The sequence below is a fragment of the Homo sapiens genome, chromosome 10, assembly GCF_000001405.40.
Source record: "Homo sapiens chromosome 10, GRCh38.p14 Primary Assembly".
In the NCBI taxonomy this organism is placed as follows: domain Eukaryota; kingdom Metazoa; phylum Chordata; class Mammalia; order Primates; family Hominidae; genus Homo; species Homo sapiens.
In genome coordinates, this window is record NC_000010.11 from 81,978,157 (window position 1) to 81,996,707 (window position 18,551).

Genomic DNA, 18,551 nt, shown 5'->3' on the forward strand with positions numbered 1-18,551 from the left:
AAATCTCTCCCTATCCCTCTGTTCCCCTTACCCCTCCCAGCCTCTAGTATCATCTGTATTAAGAAAATACGGATATATGGATGAGAGGACAACAGGTTATAGATTTTGATAGTGGGATATCTTAAAGGGAAGGAACTAGTTAATTATCCATAAATTCCTTCAATGGTGTGAATATTGCCCTTTATTATGGCATAATTCTTAAAATTTATGCTATTGCTTTGAGAAGCACATCGAAGAGCCATGCCAAACCATTCTATAACTTTCAGGACCTTGGACAGCTTCTTTGCTTCAAGATAGCCAAGAGGTTAAGGCAAAGACAACCCAACAGGGCAAATTTTTTTTTCTGAAAAAGAAAGTTTGTTTTTAACCCACACTGTAGCGTTGTTTATAGCCTCCTCCCAGTTCATCCTTGAATCCATAGTATATTTCTCTATACATACTCCTGGATAAGAAGAAACAAATAATAGGAAGATAAAGTTAGGTATTGTCATCAGAGCATTAACACAGTGATCTTATTTTCGTAAACTCTTAATATCATATATATATATATTTGCATCTTTCTTTTTTCTTTCTTTTGTTTTTAGAGATAGGGTCTTGCTGTGTTGCCTAGGTTTGTCTCAAACTGCTGGCCTCAAGTGATCCTCTTGCCTCAGTCTCCAAAAACATTGGGATTATAGGTATGAGCCACCATGCCTGGCCCAGCATCTTATGTTTTGTAGCATCTAGCCATAATGTATTTTTAAAAATTTCCTGGCCGGGCGTGGTGGCTCATGCCTGTAATCCCAGCACTTTGGGAGGCCGAGGTGGGCGGATCACAAGGTCAAGAGATCAAGACCATCCTGGCCAACATGATGAAACCCCGTCTCTATTAAAAGTACAAAAATTAGCTGGGCGTAGTGGCGCACGCCTGTAGTCCCAGCTACTTGGGAGGCTGAGGCAGGAGAATCGCTTGAACCTGGGAGGCAGAGGTTGCAGTGAGCCGGGATTGTGCCACTGCACTCCAGCCTGGCGACAGGGCGGGACTCCGTCTCAAAAAAAAAAAAAAAAAAAAAAAAATTTCCTGTCTGTCTGAATTCAGGAACCCCAGGTAACTTTGTGTCAATGTTATCTCTGATTTCCTCCACAGAGTCTCTATGGGAAATATTGTAGAGGTTATGGCTTCCACCCTAACAATAATATAACATAAAAGGAAATTCTAAAATCTTGCTCATATCTAATGGGAGCATTTTTGGGAGGCATTGTGCACACATTGCTAGAGAGCTATGAAGGAACTGTTTCAAATGAAGAGAAATGCAAGCCTAGGCAGTATGAAATGTATCTTGGTAACAGCCCTCTGTCCTGTAATTTATCCCACCTAGTTTTCTTTTTGTTTAGATTGTCCCACTTAATTTCCTTTTGTTTAGATTGTTGGTTTTTATTTTCAGCAATGTCAAATGTAGGTAGTAATTTGATTTATAATAAGAGCTTACATCCAAATGTTTTGATAGCAGAGTCAAAAGAAATACAACCTGAGCCATCCCCAGGGAGTCATATACATACGGACTCACATGCATGCACAAACACACACAGGAGCCACATTTGCAACTGCATTACGGATTTACAAAATTACTTGTATTTCATTCAAGACCGCTCTAATGGGTTTTACCAGATCAGAAGTGAAAATTTTAAATAAATTAATAGACAGTTTAACCCAGGTTATAGTCAGTCACTCAGGCAATCAGTCTAGCTTTGTCTGTGTATTTTACAAACTGGCCACCCAAGTTCAGAGTGAATATAGGAACAAAAAATCAAGAAGACCACAGGTAAACATAGGCCAAAGGGTTAACCAACCAGCCCTTACTAAAAAAGTTAGTCGTCATCATTTTGCCCCACTTCCTCATCGCCTTTCATGGTGTTTCACAAATTTTATAGGTAAATGAGTAAGGATGTGATCTCATTCACTTATCTATTCCGTTTGAATATAAAACATTTTGTTTCCTTCCCAAATCTTTAATTGTATCTTGATAAAGAATTCAAGCTTCTTTGTACTTTGTAGGAGTTGGAGATTTTTTTTTTTTTGGTTGATCATGAATTATTGAAGTTCAGTGGACTGGAATTGGAACACTTGGATCGGAGATTTTATTCTGCCAATTATTACATGTGTAAATTTGGGCAAGTTAGCTAACTTTAGAAACAGTCGTCTTGTCAGTTAATGAGGGTATTATTATATCTGTAATGCCTTTCATCACACATGGCTTTTGGGGGAGTCAGATAATAAGAGTAAAAGTAACTTATAAACTGAACAAATAAAAAAGACAATGATTTACCAACTACTTCCAACATTACTATTTAAACCATGACTTTGAGATGCTATATTTTAAGAATGAAAAAGAAAGTAATCTTTATTTTAAGGAGAGGGGCAAGGCAATAATTTTCCATAAGAGGGCACAGACACTATATACAAAATGGAATCTGTCTCAGTTTTCAGAATTTTCATTTGCTAGCTCGAGTGCAAGCTGCTTGTGTTAGTTTGCGAGGACTTCCATACAAAATATCATATAATAGGTGCTTTAAATAACGGAAATTTCTTTTCTCACAATTCTGGAGGCTAGAAGTTCAAGAGCAAGTTGTTGGAAGATGTAGTTTCTTCTGAGGACCTCTGGCTTGGCCTGCAGATGGCCACCTTCTTGCTGTGTCCTCACATGATCTTTTCTTTTGTGCACACACATCTCTGGCATGTTTTTGTGTGTCCATATTTCTTATAAAGACATTAGTCTCATTGGATTAGGACCCACTCTAAGGACTTCATTTTAAGTTAATCACCTCTTGCTCTTGCTCTAAATACAGTCACATTCTGAGTTATGGATGGTTGGGGCTTCAATGTATGCATGAAGGGAGCATAAATCCGTAACGTTTGACTTTTGGATCTCCAAAATCCCTGTCCTTCTCATATGCAAAATACATTCACCCTAATCCCAACAGTCCAAAATCTTTACCGATTTCAGCATCAATTCTAACTTCCAAAACTCATGTAAATATTATCTAAATCAAGTATGATGAGAGACTTGAGGTATGATTCATCCTGAAGCAGAATTTCACTCCAGCTGTGAACTTGTAAAATTGTACAAGTTCCGTATATTGAAAATCCATTGCTAAGACAGGAATGGGATGAAAATTCTCATTCCAAAAGGAATAAATATGAAAGAAGAAAGGAATCATAGATCCCTAGCAAGTTTCAAATGTAACAGACTAAATTCTATTAGATATTAAGGCTCAGTAGTAATCCTGTTTGGCTTAATGCCCTGCGCTCCAGGCCCACTGGGGTGGTGGCTCTGCTTTGTGGGTCCACCGGGACAGCAATGTTGCCTTAGCCCTGGGAAATAGCGTCGTCTTCTGATGCCTTGAGTGACAGTCCTGTCTCTATCATCCTGGGAAGTGGCAGCCTGGTCCACTGAAGCTAAGGAGGTGCCCCTCATTCTGAAATCAAGAAAGAGACAGCCTTGGCTTTCCATCCTCCCACCAGACCTGGGCCCATGGTGAGAGTGGCAGTCCCGCCAATCTCTGAATAGCTTCTGGGGTCATTCTTTCATTTCCTTGATGATGGATAACATATGTTTACAGCCATTTAACTTGATTAAATGGATATTGAATTCTCCCATCCTGTAGAATTCTGGTATTCCAATAGCCTTTCTTTATTTGGGGCTATGTCTGTCCCCTTTAGTCCAAGCCGACAGTGTTTTCTGCTGATATAAGCCCATATTTATTCCTGGCTTCTGCTGAGATAAGTGATTAGATCTATGAGTCACATCCATAATTTCTTTATGGAGTAATTGTCCAGCTACATTCTTGGTTTTCTTTCCAAAACATACCTTTTATTTTTTTTCAATAGGAATAAGCTGATAATTATTCAAATATTCAAGTTCTGGTTGCTTTTTGCTTAACAATTTCTTCTTCAATAATCTCTTTCCTCTTGCAGTTTACTATAAGCAGTAAGGAGAAACTAGACTGTACCTTCAACACTTTGCTCAGAAATTATTTCAGCTGAATACCCAGGTTTGTCACCTACAATTTCTACTTTCCACAAAACACTGGGACACAGTTCAGCTAATCTCTCTGCCATTTTATGGTAAGTGTTGTCTTTCCTCTAGTGTCAAAAAATATATTTCTAATTTTCACCTGAGGCCACAACAGAAGCAAGCACATTTAATGTCCATGATTTTACAGAAAGTTTGTTCAAGGCAATCTAAGCTTCCTCTAATCTGTGCCTCAAACCTCTCACAGCCTCTACTCATTACTTCTAAAGCTGCTTCCACATTTTTAGGTGTTCAGTTCTTTAGCATCCCACATCGTGGTACCAAAATCTGTATTAGTTTTCTGGGGCTGCCATAACAAAATACCACAGACAACAAAAATGTATTTTCTCATGGTTAGGAGACTAGAAATTCAGTATCAAGTTTCAGCAAGCCTGAGCCTCTCTTCTTGGCTTGCAGATGGCCATCTTCTGTCTCTGTTCCCACGTGATCTTTCCTTTGCACCTGAGCATCCATGGCAGTTCTTTTTTGTCTACAAAATTTCTTCTTCTTACAAGAACACCGGTAAGTTTGGATTAGGGCCCACCCTAAGAGCCTCATTTTTACTTAATCACCTCTTTAGAGGACCTGTCTCCAAATACAGTCACATTCTGAGATTCTGGGAGTTAGCGTTTCAACATATGATTTTGGAAAGACAGTTTCGTAACTTAACAATAAATGAACAATTTGAGCTTAACATAATGATGAATTTTGACTTAGGAAGAAGCATAGCTTTAGCCCATGTAACACTGTTGTATATCATCACTGTGAAAGGACTGGCATCTTAGTGATTTTAAAACCATGTTTCCCTGAGTCTCGGGCAGTGAGTCAGGAGGGCTATGTAGACTGTGTCCATGGTTAGGTGGAGATGCTGATGGGTTTCGGCTCTCAGACCTGTTGGACACAGATGTACCATACCAGGGGAAAGTGCTAAATTGCTTGTAAATTCACTGGCACTCCAATACTCTATCCATGTCTGGAAATAAATGAACATAGAGTCTGTGATCATATTAACTGAACCACACATTTGGCTAGGAATATCAGATGATAAAACTGAGTAATTAAAATAAAAATTGTTCTAGGATACCTGGAATGCACAGCAATTGCTCCTTTTCTTAAATGTTGATGGCCTTACGCAATGGTGTTCACAGCACACCCCTCTTTATCTTGGGGATGCTTTCTCTGATGGATGGGCTTCAAAATTGCTAATACACGAATTACTCATATTTAGACATTTGTTCTTTTAGGTGCCAGACTGTTTTCTTTTGGAATGTATTTTTGTGTGATGCAATTTGTCACCTAGATCTTAGCATTAACTTTTAAAGGATGAATGTTGATATATTGGTTCTCTTTTTTTATAATTTCTTGTATGACAAAGTAATTACTACCTACTGTGTTCTAGGCACCACACTAAGTGCTATTAATGTAGCCGTGAATTTACGTTGTCTTCACCAAGGGTATCATAATCTAATTTAAAGTATTTTTTCCTCTTGTAGAAATACCTTCTTCCATGTATAAAGGCACCTAAAATGTTGTACAGCTCAATTAAGCTTAGTATCTTTCTTGTTTTACTCAATCTCAGTTTATAACTGTTGTAGATTAAATAATGGCCCTTCAAATATGTCCACATCCTGATCCCCAAAACTTGTGAATGTTTCCTTTTAATGCTAAAACAATTTAAATATGTGATTAAGGATCTTGATATCGGGAGATTATCCTGGATCATCCTGGTGAACTGCTATAATCACAGTTGTTTTTATGAAAATAAATAAAGAAGGTTCAAAGAAGAAGAGAAGGTGGCAAGGTGATAATGGAAGCAGAGATAGGAATGAGTCACTTTGAAAAAGGTGGAGGACCCCAAGCTAAGGAATATAGGCAGCCACTAAAAAGCAGGGAAAGAGTCTCCCTTCAAAGTCCCCAGAAAGAATCAACCTTGCTGGTACCATGACATTAACTCAGAGAGACCATTTTTGAACTTCTGACCTCCAGAATTGCAAGATAATAAAATTTTGTTATTTTAAGCCACTGAAGGTTGTGGTACTTTGTCATAGCAGCAACAGGAAACTAATAGAATCACATTAATAATCACCAGTACACTCAAAATCATTTATCTACATTCTTCTTTACAATCTGCTCCCACATACTATTACCACTGTTATTAATTTATCCATCTTAATTGTAATCCTTCCTTCCGTATTTGCATCATGCTCTTAATTTAGAAACTTGACATTCCACTTGAAATCTTATGGTCAGTTTCCAAATGGTATCTCTGTTTTCAGCCTCACTCCTTCCAAACTTTTCTCCAGATTGTTTCCAAAATTTTCTCATAAAAGCCAAATACGAACTTTTTTCTTCTTAAAATCCTGTGATACCTCATGAGCTTCTGTCCTGTTTGCCAAACTCCTATTCACTCGTCAAGAGGCAGTTTAAATATCTTCTTTTCTGTGACTCTTTCCACAGACATAAATGTTTGCATTATCTTCTATGTTTCAAAGGCATCTTGAATATATTTTCTTGAAAAATCCTTTTATATCTATCGAGACAGATAGATATAGAGATAGATGCATTCCAGGGCAGCCTGTTTTATTACTATACATATACAAAAAGACTCAAAAGGATAAGTAATAAAATGTATTAACTGCAAATTCCTTCTGGAGGTAACATTATAAAATATGTGCTAATAACAGGAGAAAAGAAACAGTGAAAAAATACAAAACGGTGTTTTCAAAATATGTTTTTCATAAATAGCAAAGGCTTTAGAGGAGATATGTTACAATGCCCAGAAAACACAAAGGAAACACAGTATGCAAAGATTTACACATGTATGTAGACATATCAGGGAAGGGACCAGAGAACAGGAAGATAAATACAATAATAGTTAACATCCATTGTGTGCTTTCCATGAGCCAATACTGTTCTAAGGGTTTTCATGTTAATTCACTAAACAATCCTTCGAGACAAGTGTTGTTAATAACCACTTTTAAAGTTGTTATGGAGACTGAGCACAACATTAATACAACTAGGAAGGGATTTGAACTCAGAAAGTCTGTTTCCAGAGCTTGTTTTCATATCCAATATGCTTTACCATCTCAGCTGGAAGGTTTTCCACTGCTGCTGGATGGGCTTTTCTGAAAGTGACCTAGGCCAAGCCATGACGGCCAAAGTGGCCCAAGCTCATCTTCAGAGATGTTCACTGGATGGTGGTGTTCTTATTTTTCAACTCCAAACTCAGCCTGTAATTCTCACCAATTTCAAATCTGCAATCACTTAAGTCTATAATCGCTATCAATGATATTTCTAACACATCCCAGCAATTCTTAAAAATGTCTCTCCTTATTGTAAGAACTCCTAATTCCACGAGTGATTATTAATGCAGGGAGAGAGATGAGAAGTTACCTTTGGGGATATAATTGAAAAGTGAGTAGGAAGCAGGCAGAGGAAGATGAAGTAATGACAGAGATTGTGTTGTGAGTAACGCAGATACTTTCAATAGGATATGCCCAAGTTTTAAGTGTGTGAATTTTCAATGCTTCTCTTTATCCTCCATTGTGTCATATAGCATGAATCACCCACATGAGTGGGTCATCAAATCAATTTTGTGGGTCACAATTAGCCTTTGATAAAGGAAAATAACATAGAATGGAACAGAAGAGCATAATATATACCATAACATAGCGTAGGTATATTTGCATAAATCTGTATCAGTCATTTCACACTTTGCAAAAATTACTGCAACAAGTGGTAAGTCACAGTGCCAGAGAGCCAATTAGTAGAGGGAGTACACTGAAGATGCCCACTGGGTAGAATGGCTTGTTTTGTCTTTTTAAAATTAACTTCTTATTTGATTTTTTGGCCTGGGAGAATCACTTTGATCATCACTGTAAAGAAAGGGCACAGTTTATTTTATATTAACATAATTATTAGTTAATTGTGAGATGAAGCCAGGAATTATTTTTCTATCATGAATAAAAGTATTGAGATTTTCAGTCAAGTTTCAGGCTGCAAAATTAGGCTGTTTTTCAGAAAGAACATTACCAAATTTGTAACTGTAACATTCTAGTAAATTTAATACTAGTACCCTTAAAATTAACTGATATATTATTAAAAAGAAAAAATTATGAATTTAAAAATGTAAAGGTATGTTTTAGTTCAACTGAAGGATTTCAAAATGTAAATAGTGAAAACATTGAGAAAAATATTGACAAAGGAGCAACACTGTCAATTTCAGGCAAAAGTTTAAAATGAAAAATTTAGTACAAATCATGAAACCTAAGACACTCAAAATCATTTTAATCAAATATGAAAAATCCAGTGAAAATGACGCCTGTGTTTATGTAATGATATTTTGCAAATAAAACCTTAAAACTTTCAAAATTAAAATGATACTTGGAAATAAAGGTTATTGTACTTACCATGTCTTTTAATTATTTGTAAGGAAGGGAAAATATAAATTCATTGGCACAATGTCTTATTCATTTGAATTTTTTATTTTATTTTAATTTTTTTGAGGCAGTCTTGCTCTGTCACCCAGACGAGAGCACAGTGGCATGATCATTGCCATCTTGATCTACTGGGCTAAAGTGATCCTCCTGCCTCAGCCTTCTGACTACAGGTGCATGCCACCATTCCCAGCTAATTTTATTTTATTTTATAATTTGTAGAGACAAGTACTCATTACATTTCCCAGGCTGAACTTGAACTCCTGAACTTAAGTAATCCTCCCACCTTGGCCTCCCAAAGTGCTGGGATTCCACAACCTTTAATATAAAATTTCTACTATTGCATAGTTACAGCATCATTGTGTGTTTAAAAAAATAGCACATATAACTTTGAAAACTATATTACCCTGTATAGATGCCATAGTGTGTGTGTGTGCATTTTTTTTTTTCTGAGAGGGAGTCTTGCTCTGCTAGCTCTTGTTGCCTAGGCTGGAGTGCAGTGACGCGATCTCGGCTCACAGCAACCTCTGCCTCCCAGGTTCAAGCAATTCTGCCTCAGCCTCCCAAGTAGTTGGGACTACAGGCGCACGCCACCACACCCGGATAATTTTTGTATTTTTAGTAGAGACCTGGTTTCGCCTTGTTGGCCAGGCTGGTCTCGAACTCCTGACCTCAGGTGATCCGCCTGCTTCAGCCTCCCAAAGTTCTGGGATGACAGGCGTGAGCCACCATGCCTGGCCTATTTTTAAGAACAAATTATCTGACAGAAATAAAACCTTTATTTTTTGACACGATATCCCATTTTGTAACTTTTAGAAACAATGACTGCTATATTGATACAATCCAGTATAAATAAGCAAATCAACCTGATGTGAGAAATGACAGTCAAGAGTGTGTAAAAATGCTAGCTAATGGCAAATGGCAAAATGGCTTTTGGAGGGTATGTAATGTAGTTAAAATTTGATTAAATGTTCTTTGGAATTGGATAAGAGCATCGTTGATCAATATGAATGACACTGGTAAAATGATATATGAGTTACAATTGAGAGAGCAAAATATGTGACTAGGAAATTATCAGAAGCTACTAATAATAAGCTCTTTGAAGTCACTTGTTAAATTTATCTTAGAGCTTTGATATCCAAAGAAATTTAGCTGCCTTTTATGGATGGGGAAAGTAAGTGAAAAATGTTTGTTTTATTAAAGGAAGCTCACTGAAATGTTTTTGATATATTTCGTCCAGAGATTGGTGCTATGCATATCCATATTTTCTACCATCCTAGCATTCTTAGATTGTCATGACCAACAATACTGAGCAAAGGTAAGAATCAAGATACAAGATTCACTTTTTGGTTATTGTTGGAGAATAATCTTGTATAGTAAGTAATTTCTAAGATAATATTTGGGTTAAAATGGCAGATTTAATAAACTAGGAAAACAAAGAAAAAACCAAAATGCATTTCAATATATTGACCTTATCCAAAGGTGATAGTGTAGTGTTTTGATATTTAATTTACAGAAATGCTCTGAAATAACTATTGCCATCCTGCTTTCTTAAGTAAATGGTCTAGAGGTCGTAGGAGTTAGCCCAGCTCCACTACCATGGAGCAAGTTAATTTGTAGAGATAAGATTTGAACTCAGTTCAAATAAGGCTCTGAAAGCTATGTTAAGGCCTCTCACTGCCCTCCCTCTGTAAGTAAGAAATGTGAGGAAACCAAGATTTACTCATTAAGCATGCCCGGCTTTGATATATTTTCCCAGATTAGAGGAACAGATGGCTCTTAGTGGTGGTTTTTGTTGTTTTCATGGTTATTGTTATTATTATTGCTAATGCCTACCTATTTTCCCTATCAAATGAATCAGGAAGCTTTGTCCAGTCCCTCTTAATTAAATGCAGTGAGAGAAATGGGATATCAATCCAATACATTGAGCTCAGCTTGTCCTGAGAGTCAGGGTGCCTAGAGAATATTTGATATGCCATGAGTTGCACAGTGTTATAATGGGCCCTGAGTTAGTGTTTTGTGTATAGTATTCGTGGTAGAGTCCTGTCTCTTCCCAGATAAGTGTGTGTTATATAGGATATAACAGTAAGTAGACATAAGTGCTTGTTTTTATTATTAGAAGGCTGATAAGGAGCAGAGAACTTGTGGTCTTAGCAGCCCACATTAAGGAATGCAGGTTCTATTTAAGTGCAATGATAAATCAATGATGGATTTCCAAACCCGGATGTACTTTTTTTTTTTTTTGAGGAAAAGAAAAACCTTTGTTGATGCATAAGGAAAGGCTGGGTAGAAGAACAGAGTTAAGGGTGGGAGGCCAGTTAGGAGACTGTTGAAGTAACGCAAGTGAGGCATTATAGTGGAATGGACTAGGGTGGTTAGAGCAGAAATGAAATTACACTCTCTGTATATTGCAGAGGTAGAATTAATCAAATAGGACATCTGAATATATTAGATGGGGTGAGGGAAAATGGACTAATCAAAGACAACCCTTATTTCTGGCTATAGGAATAGGATATTGTCATTAACTACATTGGGAGACTTCGAGTACGGAGAGTTTTTTTGGATTGTGGAAAATTAAGGGTTCTGTTGGGAGATGCACATTAGAAAACTAAGTGAACTTGCTAAGTATACAGTTGGAGATTAAAGCAAAAGAGTTATCAGTCTATAGATAGTTAGAGTTAGTGTGTAGACATCTAGTATAAGATCACCTAGGAAAAGATATAGATGGTGAAGAAAAGAGGACCCAGTCGCATACCTTAAAGTACATTGACATTAAGAAACTCGACAGAGAAAGAAGAAATAGCAAAGAAACGCAAAAGTGACTGTGATGCAGAGATAGAATCAAGGAGAGATTTGAGGTTTACTTACTATATTAAATGTGGAGAATTTGAAGATGAATCTAAAAAATATTTGTCTGTTTTCTCCGAGGGAATATTTTTATGGTTCATTTATAAAGTCATCTGTATTGTTTTATGTGACAAAACTGGTTTCATTGGTTCTTTAGATTACTTACTGTCATTTTTGGATTTGAGGTCATAGGAGCCCAGAGGGGCAAAACTCTCAGTAGGAAGCATCAGTCGTGTCAATACTGCTGTGAGGCTGAGTAGAAAGATGAGAAGTGAGAACTTTTTCTTTTGGTGACCAACAAGTTATTGATGGCCTTGAGAAAAATGCGACTCTGGAGATGTGTCTGCAGAAGCTGGACTGTAGTTGGTGAAAAAATGGACAGGAAATGAAAAAATGGAAAAAAAATCTGTCCAGAAGGTTGACTATGAAGAGGAGCAGAGAAATGAAGTATAAATTAGGAGAAGGCTAATTGTTCAGGGGGCAAATTTTTTACAGTAGGAATATTATAGATCATGTATGAAACTTAAGGGACTGATGCTGGAGAAAGTTTGAAGAGGCAAAATATGCAAAGAGGAATGTTTGGATGGTCCTTGAGAAGGTGTTTGCGACAGAGTTTGTAGTCTAAGAAGTGATTGTCCGTATCTTTACTCTTTAGATCTCAATGTTCTCATCTGTAAAACGGTGGAGTAGCTGTGGATTATTTCCAAGCTTCTTTGTGACTTGAATATTCTACAAATTTATTACTGTTAGTCATGCATATGCTAGTAAGCAGTGATGAACATGGGAGATGTATCCTGAGGCTGTTTACTCTCATATTAAAAGTGGAGAATTTGAAGATAAATCTAAAAGATACTTAAGTCTATTTTCTCCAAGGGAATATTTTTATGGTTCATTTATGAAGTCATCTGTATTTTATGTGAGAAAACTGGTTTCATTGTTCTTTAGATTACTTATCCTCTTGTAGAAACTGTAACTATTTTGAAGTTTGAGGCTGCAACATATTCACATTGGTTTCACTGTTTTAATCTTATTTTCACTGCTTTTGCCATCTAACCATAAGATATTGGTGCAGTAAGGATAATTAAGTAAGATAAGTTTATTAACAGCAGCAAGTATCTTGAAGACATACCCATTTCAGATGTATGTTAATGACCATATTTTTTACTCTACTATGCTGGAAGGTTTTCGATGGAATTCCCGGAAAAGAGACTTATAGCAGCCATATAAATAACAATTACAGAGAGTATTATTGGTATTTATGCTGAAATGCCTTTTATATTGTCTTTAATACTTGAGTAGAACTTAATTGAATTATATTTGTCAAGGTAACTTTTTCCTCTTAAGAAAAATCCCGTTGCTTAAAATTAAAAAAAATAAACCTAGTATTTTCTACCTACTAGTAAAATGCAAGTTTACATATTAAACTCTTGCTTTGCAAATGTTAAATTGGTTGAAATGAGTCAAATTGGCAATTTGTTTGTAACTAGAATGTGTGTGAGAAGCTGAGTCAAAAATTTGAGAAGCCTCCATTGCCCTTTTCAACTTACATGGTACTTATTTATGCAAAAGGAAGGCACATCAGGTATGTCGTGACATGGGCTGAAACCTATGTCCATAGAACCAGGAAGAGTTGGGCATGGGATATAGCTGGTTGATGGAAACTTTCAAGCTGATATTTCAGTGTTAATTATTGTCTTCAATATGTACATTGTTTCCAAGAATCATATTTTGCTTTATCAAATGGATGCATTATTATATTTTGTTAATATCTCTGATCCTTTTTTGTTCAGAAAATGGTTATTATCTCAAAAATCATAGGATTTGAGAAAGATTACATGATATAACAAGTATAAATTGTAGATCATAGAACTTGGCACCTAGTAAGCACTCTGCCTCAGCACTCATGCTCAAAGTCTGTTAATGAGATCTGAATCTGGTGGTTTTACAGGGTACAAAACCACAATGATTTGTGAATATGTGAGTCTATGGTAGAATATTAATGTGGAAATAATCTGGAGTGCATACACTGTGTGGGTCCCCCAAAGGCATGGGTGATTGTAGGCATAATTAACCAACCTTCCTTACTCAGAAAGTGGAAATGGCAAGTTAGAGTTTTCTAAAATATAAAAGCCTATTTACCAGTTCTGTGATGAGATTTTTTTTAAAAATCCACACAAAAACAAAACAAAATGAAAACCACACATGATTTAGCTTGTTTGGATTGCTATTTGATGATATTTAATAATAATAGAAATAATTACCTCTGAACAAAGTTAATTCAGTATACATTTTGCTATTACTTTTCTCTTAAGTAAAATAATATCTATCACCCATGAATATTTTAAAGAGGTAGCTCTTTATTCTCCAGAGTAAACTATGTAAATTCCCAAGAACCAATAATTTCCATAATTATTAAACAAATATTATATCATAGTTTCTGAGCATTAGTCACAGAAAAACTCCTGAGATTAGATTGAGACAAAGTGTCATGCTTTACGTTTTTACTTTACTTGGCTAGGATTCTCTTATTAGAAACATACCTATTGTATTATTATTTTCAAGCAAAGAAAACAAAATTCCATTGTAAGTTGGGTCCTTTCACACTTAATATAAGCAAAAACTGTCATTTTTTCATTACTGTAAGCTGATTGAAAATTGAAACTGTGAACAATGTAGCTGTTCCAAATAATAGTTTAAAAAATAAAATTATTTTTTTCTTTGAATATATATTTTATTTATCAGAACTCACTAAAGGATTATATGTGGAAAGAATGTTGGTTTATAATTTAGAAACAACATTTTTTAGAGATATTTGCATTTGCAACATAATGGAAGTTGATCTCATAGTTGTAATTGTCAATAACTGTCTGCTGTGCTTGAGACTATATCTGCCCTTGCTCATTTCTCACTCTGCACTCCTGGGGAAGTGGAAGAACATTGGCCATGTCTCCTTTTGCTGGGCATAAGAAACATATATAAATAGATACGTTATAAATAGATAGTTTCAAGTAAATAATGTGTTCTCTTAAGCTCACAATGATGACTTTTATAATAAATAATTTCTACCATAACAAATGATTTCTTTGCATTATTGCAAATACAGATTTCAGCAATAACTGTTTTAGGTTCCTTTTCTAACACTGTGGATGAGCTAGAATGACTCTCTTTGTCCTCTCCTTCAGAGGTCTCTCCTGTCACCTCCTCTTTTTCTGTCTTCCCATTTAGCTTAGGGGTCTCCATTCTATAGGCTCTCTCACACCATTGTCACAGCTGCACTGTGATCCAATATAGACATTCTCTGTATGATAGCAACTCCTATTGAGTGCCAGCAGATACAAGTCCTGCAAGATGCCCAAAGAATAAAAGAGATCTATGGTCAATAGTGTAGCCATCTTACAGGGTCAGGATTCCATTCATATATTAAAGTCTTTGTGAGACTTGCAGTAATGAAACCTGTGATTAATCTATACTTCCCTAAATTACTTTATCATGTGTTTTAGAATAGATATTTCTAGTCTGAGAACCTAGTTATATTGGAATAGTTTGGGAAATGTCATGTTACTATTTGAACGATAAGAAGTTATCTCTTCATTTAGAAGAGGTAACCTAGACTAAGAATGATTGATATCACCCATCAGATTTCATCTGCTTAATTTTTCAGTTCTGTGCATTTAACAATAGAAAGTTTAAAACGAGCCATCCTTCAATGTGTTTAGCATTATAATAAAAGAACATAGGAAAGATATAGTCTACTGTTCTCATTTTACAGTTGTTGAAACTAAAGCCTAGAGAGAGGATATTAGTTGACCATGAGCACACAGCTTAGTTTAAAGTAGCTGAGATGTGAGTTGTTTTTTGTTTTATTTTCTTTTTGAGACAGGGTCTTGCTCTCTCACCCAGGCTGGAGTGCAGAGGTGTGATCATAGCTCACTGTAACCTCAAACTCCTGGGTTCAAATGATCCTCCTGCCTTAGCCTCCTGAGTAGGTGGGCCTACAGATGCATGCCACCACAACCAGCTAATTTAATTTTTTTTTGTAGAGATGGGGTCTTGTTAGGTTGCTCAGCTTGGCCTTGAACTCCTGGCCTCAACTGATCCTCCCACCATGTCCTCACAAAGAGGTGGAATTACAGGCATAAACCATGCACCCAGTCAAGATTGTGATCCAAATTCTTATTTTCCAATTCCAAATTTAGTGTCAAGTCTACAAGTTCAAACTACTTTCATTAAAAGAGAACCATAGTTACAATAATCTTGATAGAACCCACAGCTTTTTGTAAATGGTTTTATTTGTAGTAATATTTTTCTGTTTGTAATATGTTTCTCGTGAATCACATAGAAGCGCAGAAGCATTGAGAAAGCCCATGAAGCTGGGTTTTTGTACATTTGTGCATATAGCAGATTGAACCCCTCTTTTGCTATTTAATATAGTGTGAAGATTTCCCCAGTGCTGTACTTACTTTCCAAAAACATGATTGTTTCTTTAGACAATTTCCTATTGTTGTTTCCAAAGTTTTGCTATTTAAAACTGTATTTTACCAAACGTACGAAAAATGTAATTGCTGGGTCAAAGAATAACACCATTTCTAGGGTTTTTCTCTGTAATGACAAATTACACTCTAAAGTGTTATCAGTTTCATTCCTCTCAGTAGTGTATGAGAAGACACTTGTTTATTTTTTACAATCAAACATAGTATCTTCAAATTGTCCAGAATTCTGAGATTACTTTCTTTACTGTTGACTATGTAAAATAGTAACTTAAAATGCTTTTTATGCCTCTTGGATTTCTCCCTAATGTCCCTATTTCTGTTGATAATAATGAAGTTTTCTATTTATGATTTAAATTGCCATTATTATATATAAAACATCTGTTTGAAAGTTTAAATAAGATATTGTGTTAAGCTGAAAGGTAATATTTAAAAAAATCATTGAGCATTTACCGTATTTAACAAGGTTCCCAGTTTATCCTCTCTTCTTTTAAACCTGACTTTCTAGTACTTGAGATTTTCTTTATTCTTTCCTGGTTAGGTTAAGTATGCCTTTAACTGCTTTTTTTTTTCCTTGCATAAAGGATAGATAGCATGTCGAATAGTTGGAAAGAATTTGTATATGAGATAATAGCTTTCTATTGCTCCTATACATTGTCAAGTGATCAAGAATATGCTGGGTGCTCATTCTTGGTTCGTAGTTTTCTTTTTCTCAAAAGAGTGGAGTATTTTCATTTTCATTATTTTTTGGTGTCTGATTATATAGAAGTCAAATTTGAAGCAAGTCCAATTTGATCAAGTTCTTTTAACTTAATTTTTGGATACTTGTAGAATTTTTTAAATCTTGAAAAATTATTGCCATTATTTTAATAGGATTTACTTTTTGTTTCTTCATAAATCTATTTTTATGGTAGCTCTTGAGTTCTAAAACGTCAGTTTTCTTTAGCTGAGGAAAGTTATTTTTCATTTTTTTCTATGGTAACTGCACTTGTTCCATTTTGCTGTCTTTTTCAGATTTCTTTCTTATGTGAATTTGGTCTCTCAGATATGTTTTTCGTATCTCCCACTCACAACATTTTGTCTTGATCCTGCTGAATGGAGCTCAAGATGAATTCCTGCAGTTTTCTCTTTCATTTGGCTTTGCTAATAATTTAACTTAGTGTTTTTGATTTAACCCTTGGTGTTTTCCATCCAATGCAAGCATTTCATCTTCATGTTTACGTTTCATATTTCATAGAAGCAATATGATTATATGATGAATGCCAATAAATATTTAGTTATTATAGTATACAAGAGATAAAGGAAGGTAACACCAAAATGTTTTTCCTACAATTGTTTCAAAAATCTATTTTCTTGACTGTCCCTGCTTTCCTGCACTTCTTCTCGTAGGTTCACTGATTTTCCTGTTTGCTCACTTGGTTTCATGCATGTTGTGGCCGGAATGCATGTTTACTATGGAATGCATCTCTCCACTGTGTTTGGCAGCAACTCGAAACCCCTTCATTTAGCTTTTATGCTGGCTGTGGCTGTCTATTCTGAGGGAAGACTTAAGGGGAAGCCCTGAAACTATCTTTTCTGCTTCTTGTGATTACTTACTGATGGAAAAGGCTCCCTTGATTTAACTTGTGTTGGCTGTTCCTGGTACTGGCCTTTGCCTTACAGTTTAAGGATGCTGTTGAATATTAACATATTCTTTCAATTACTTCCTATGAGTGTCTGGAGATAGGAAGTAGTTGAATGTTGGGGTGAATGATAGACCACCCACTTCTGCAGGGTTCCTTGTGGGTCTTCAATATTCTAGTCCTACAGAATTCCTTGTACTTTCTGGTTCTTCATCAGTACCTTTTCTAGATACAGACCTTGATATTGTTTGTTTTGTTTTGTTTTGTTTGTTTGTTTTGTTTTTTGTTAAATTGGTCAATGCCATGCAACTGTGGTCAGAGGGACTGAAATTGTTTTCACATGGCTCTCTTCACTGGAAAGCCCTGGGTTAATCTGCTCATGATCCTTTACATCCAGCTCTGGAATTTTTTTTTCTTTATAATGCATAATGAATAGCTTTGCTAAAGAGGATTCTGCTTTCAAATTTCAAGAATAAAAAGAGGACATCTGTCTGAGTATTAACATGATGGAAATTTTTAAAAATATCACATAGTGTGTTAGCTCATATGTGACAAATAGATAATGCATCTCATGGCCATTAGGAACAGAATATTTGTCAGAACATTCTGTCTATTGTTTAAAGGCATTGGTGTAATGTCATAATATTTCTACAAGGTATGAAAATGTTGCACTGTGCATGTCTGAAGTCTATAGTGTATCCCTTAGACTCTTGCCATTTAGCTGAATTCTGGGGGAATGTTGCCAGTATCGTTGTTTCAAATGAGATAATCAAATGGCTTATGGAGCTCTATTTACCCCCATTCCACCCTCTGTCACAATATAGTAAGTTACTTATTGGAGCATATGCTTAATGAAAAATTAATAGCAATGCAATATGATATAATGGTGCAGGACTATATTCTGACTAGTATAAGATATTTACATATTTTTGCCAATTGGTCATTATCTTTTATTTCACATATCCATGATGAGTGCATATTTAGAAAATGAGAGAGTGCTTTCTGCTAATGTTTCTGATTATTAGTGATAGTGCTGAATTCATATGCTTACAGAGAGACTGAGAGGGAGAAGAAGAGGGGCTAGAGGAAGGAGGAGGCAGGAGAGAA

General features: G+C 35.8%; 1 protein-coding gene across 24 annotated transcripts in view, besides 1 other annotated feature; it reads left to right on the top strand.

Annotated features, from left to right (window-relative positions):
• NRG3 (neuregulin 3) overlaps positions 1-18,551 on the top strand; it is a 1,111,986-nt gene that overhangs the window by 102,963 nt on the left and 990,472 nt on the right. The gene's annotated exons all lie outside the window — the stretch shown is intronic.
• Positions 174-374: a silencer, noted in NCBI's record as "peak1034 fragment used in MPRA reporter construct". NCBI's record gives its function as "represses an SCP1 promoter by STARR-seq MPRAs in K562 erythroleukemia cells {active_cell/tissue: K562}" and the evidence as "EXISTENCE:reporter gene assay evidence [ECO:0000049][PMID:32103011]".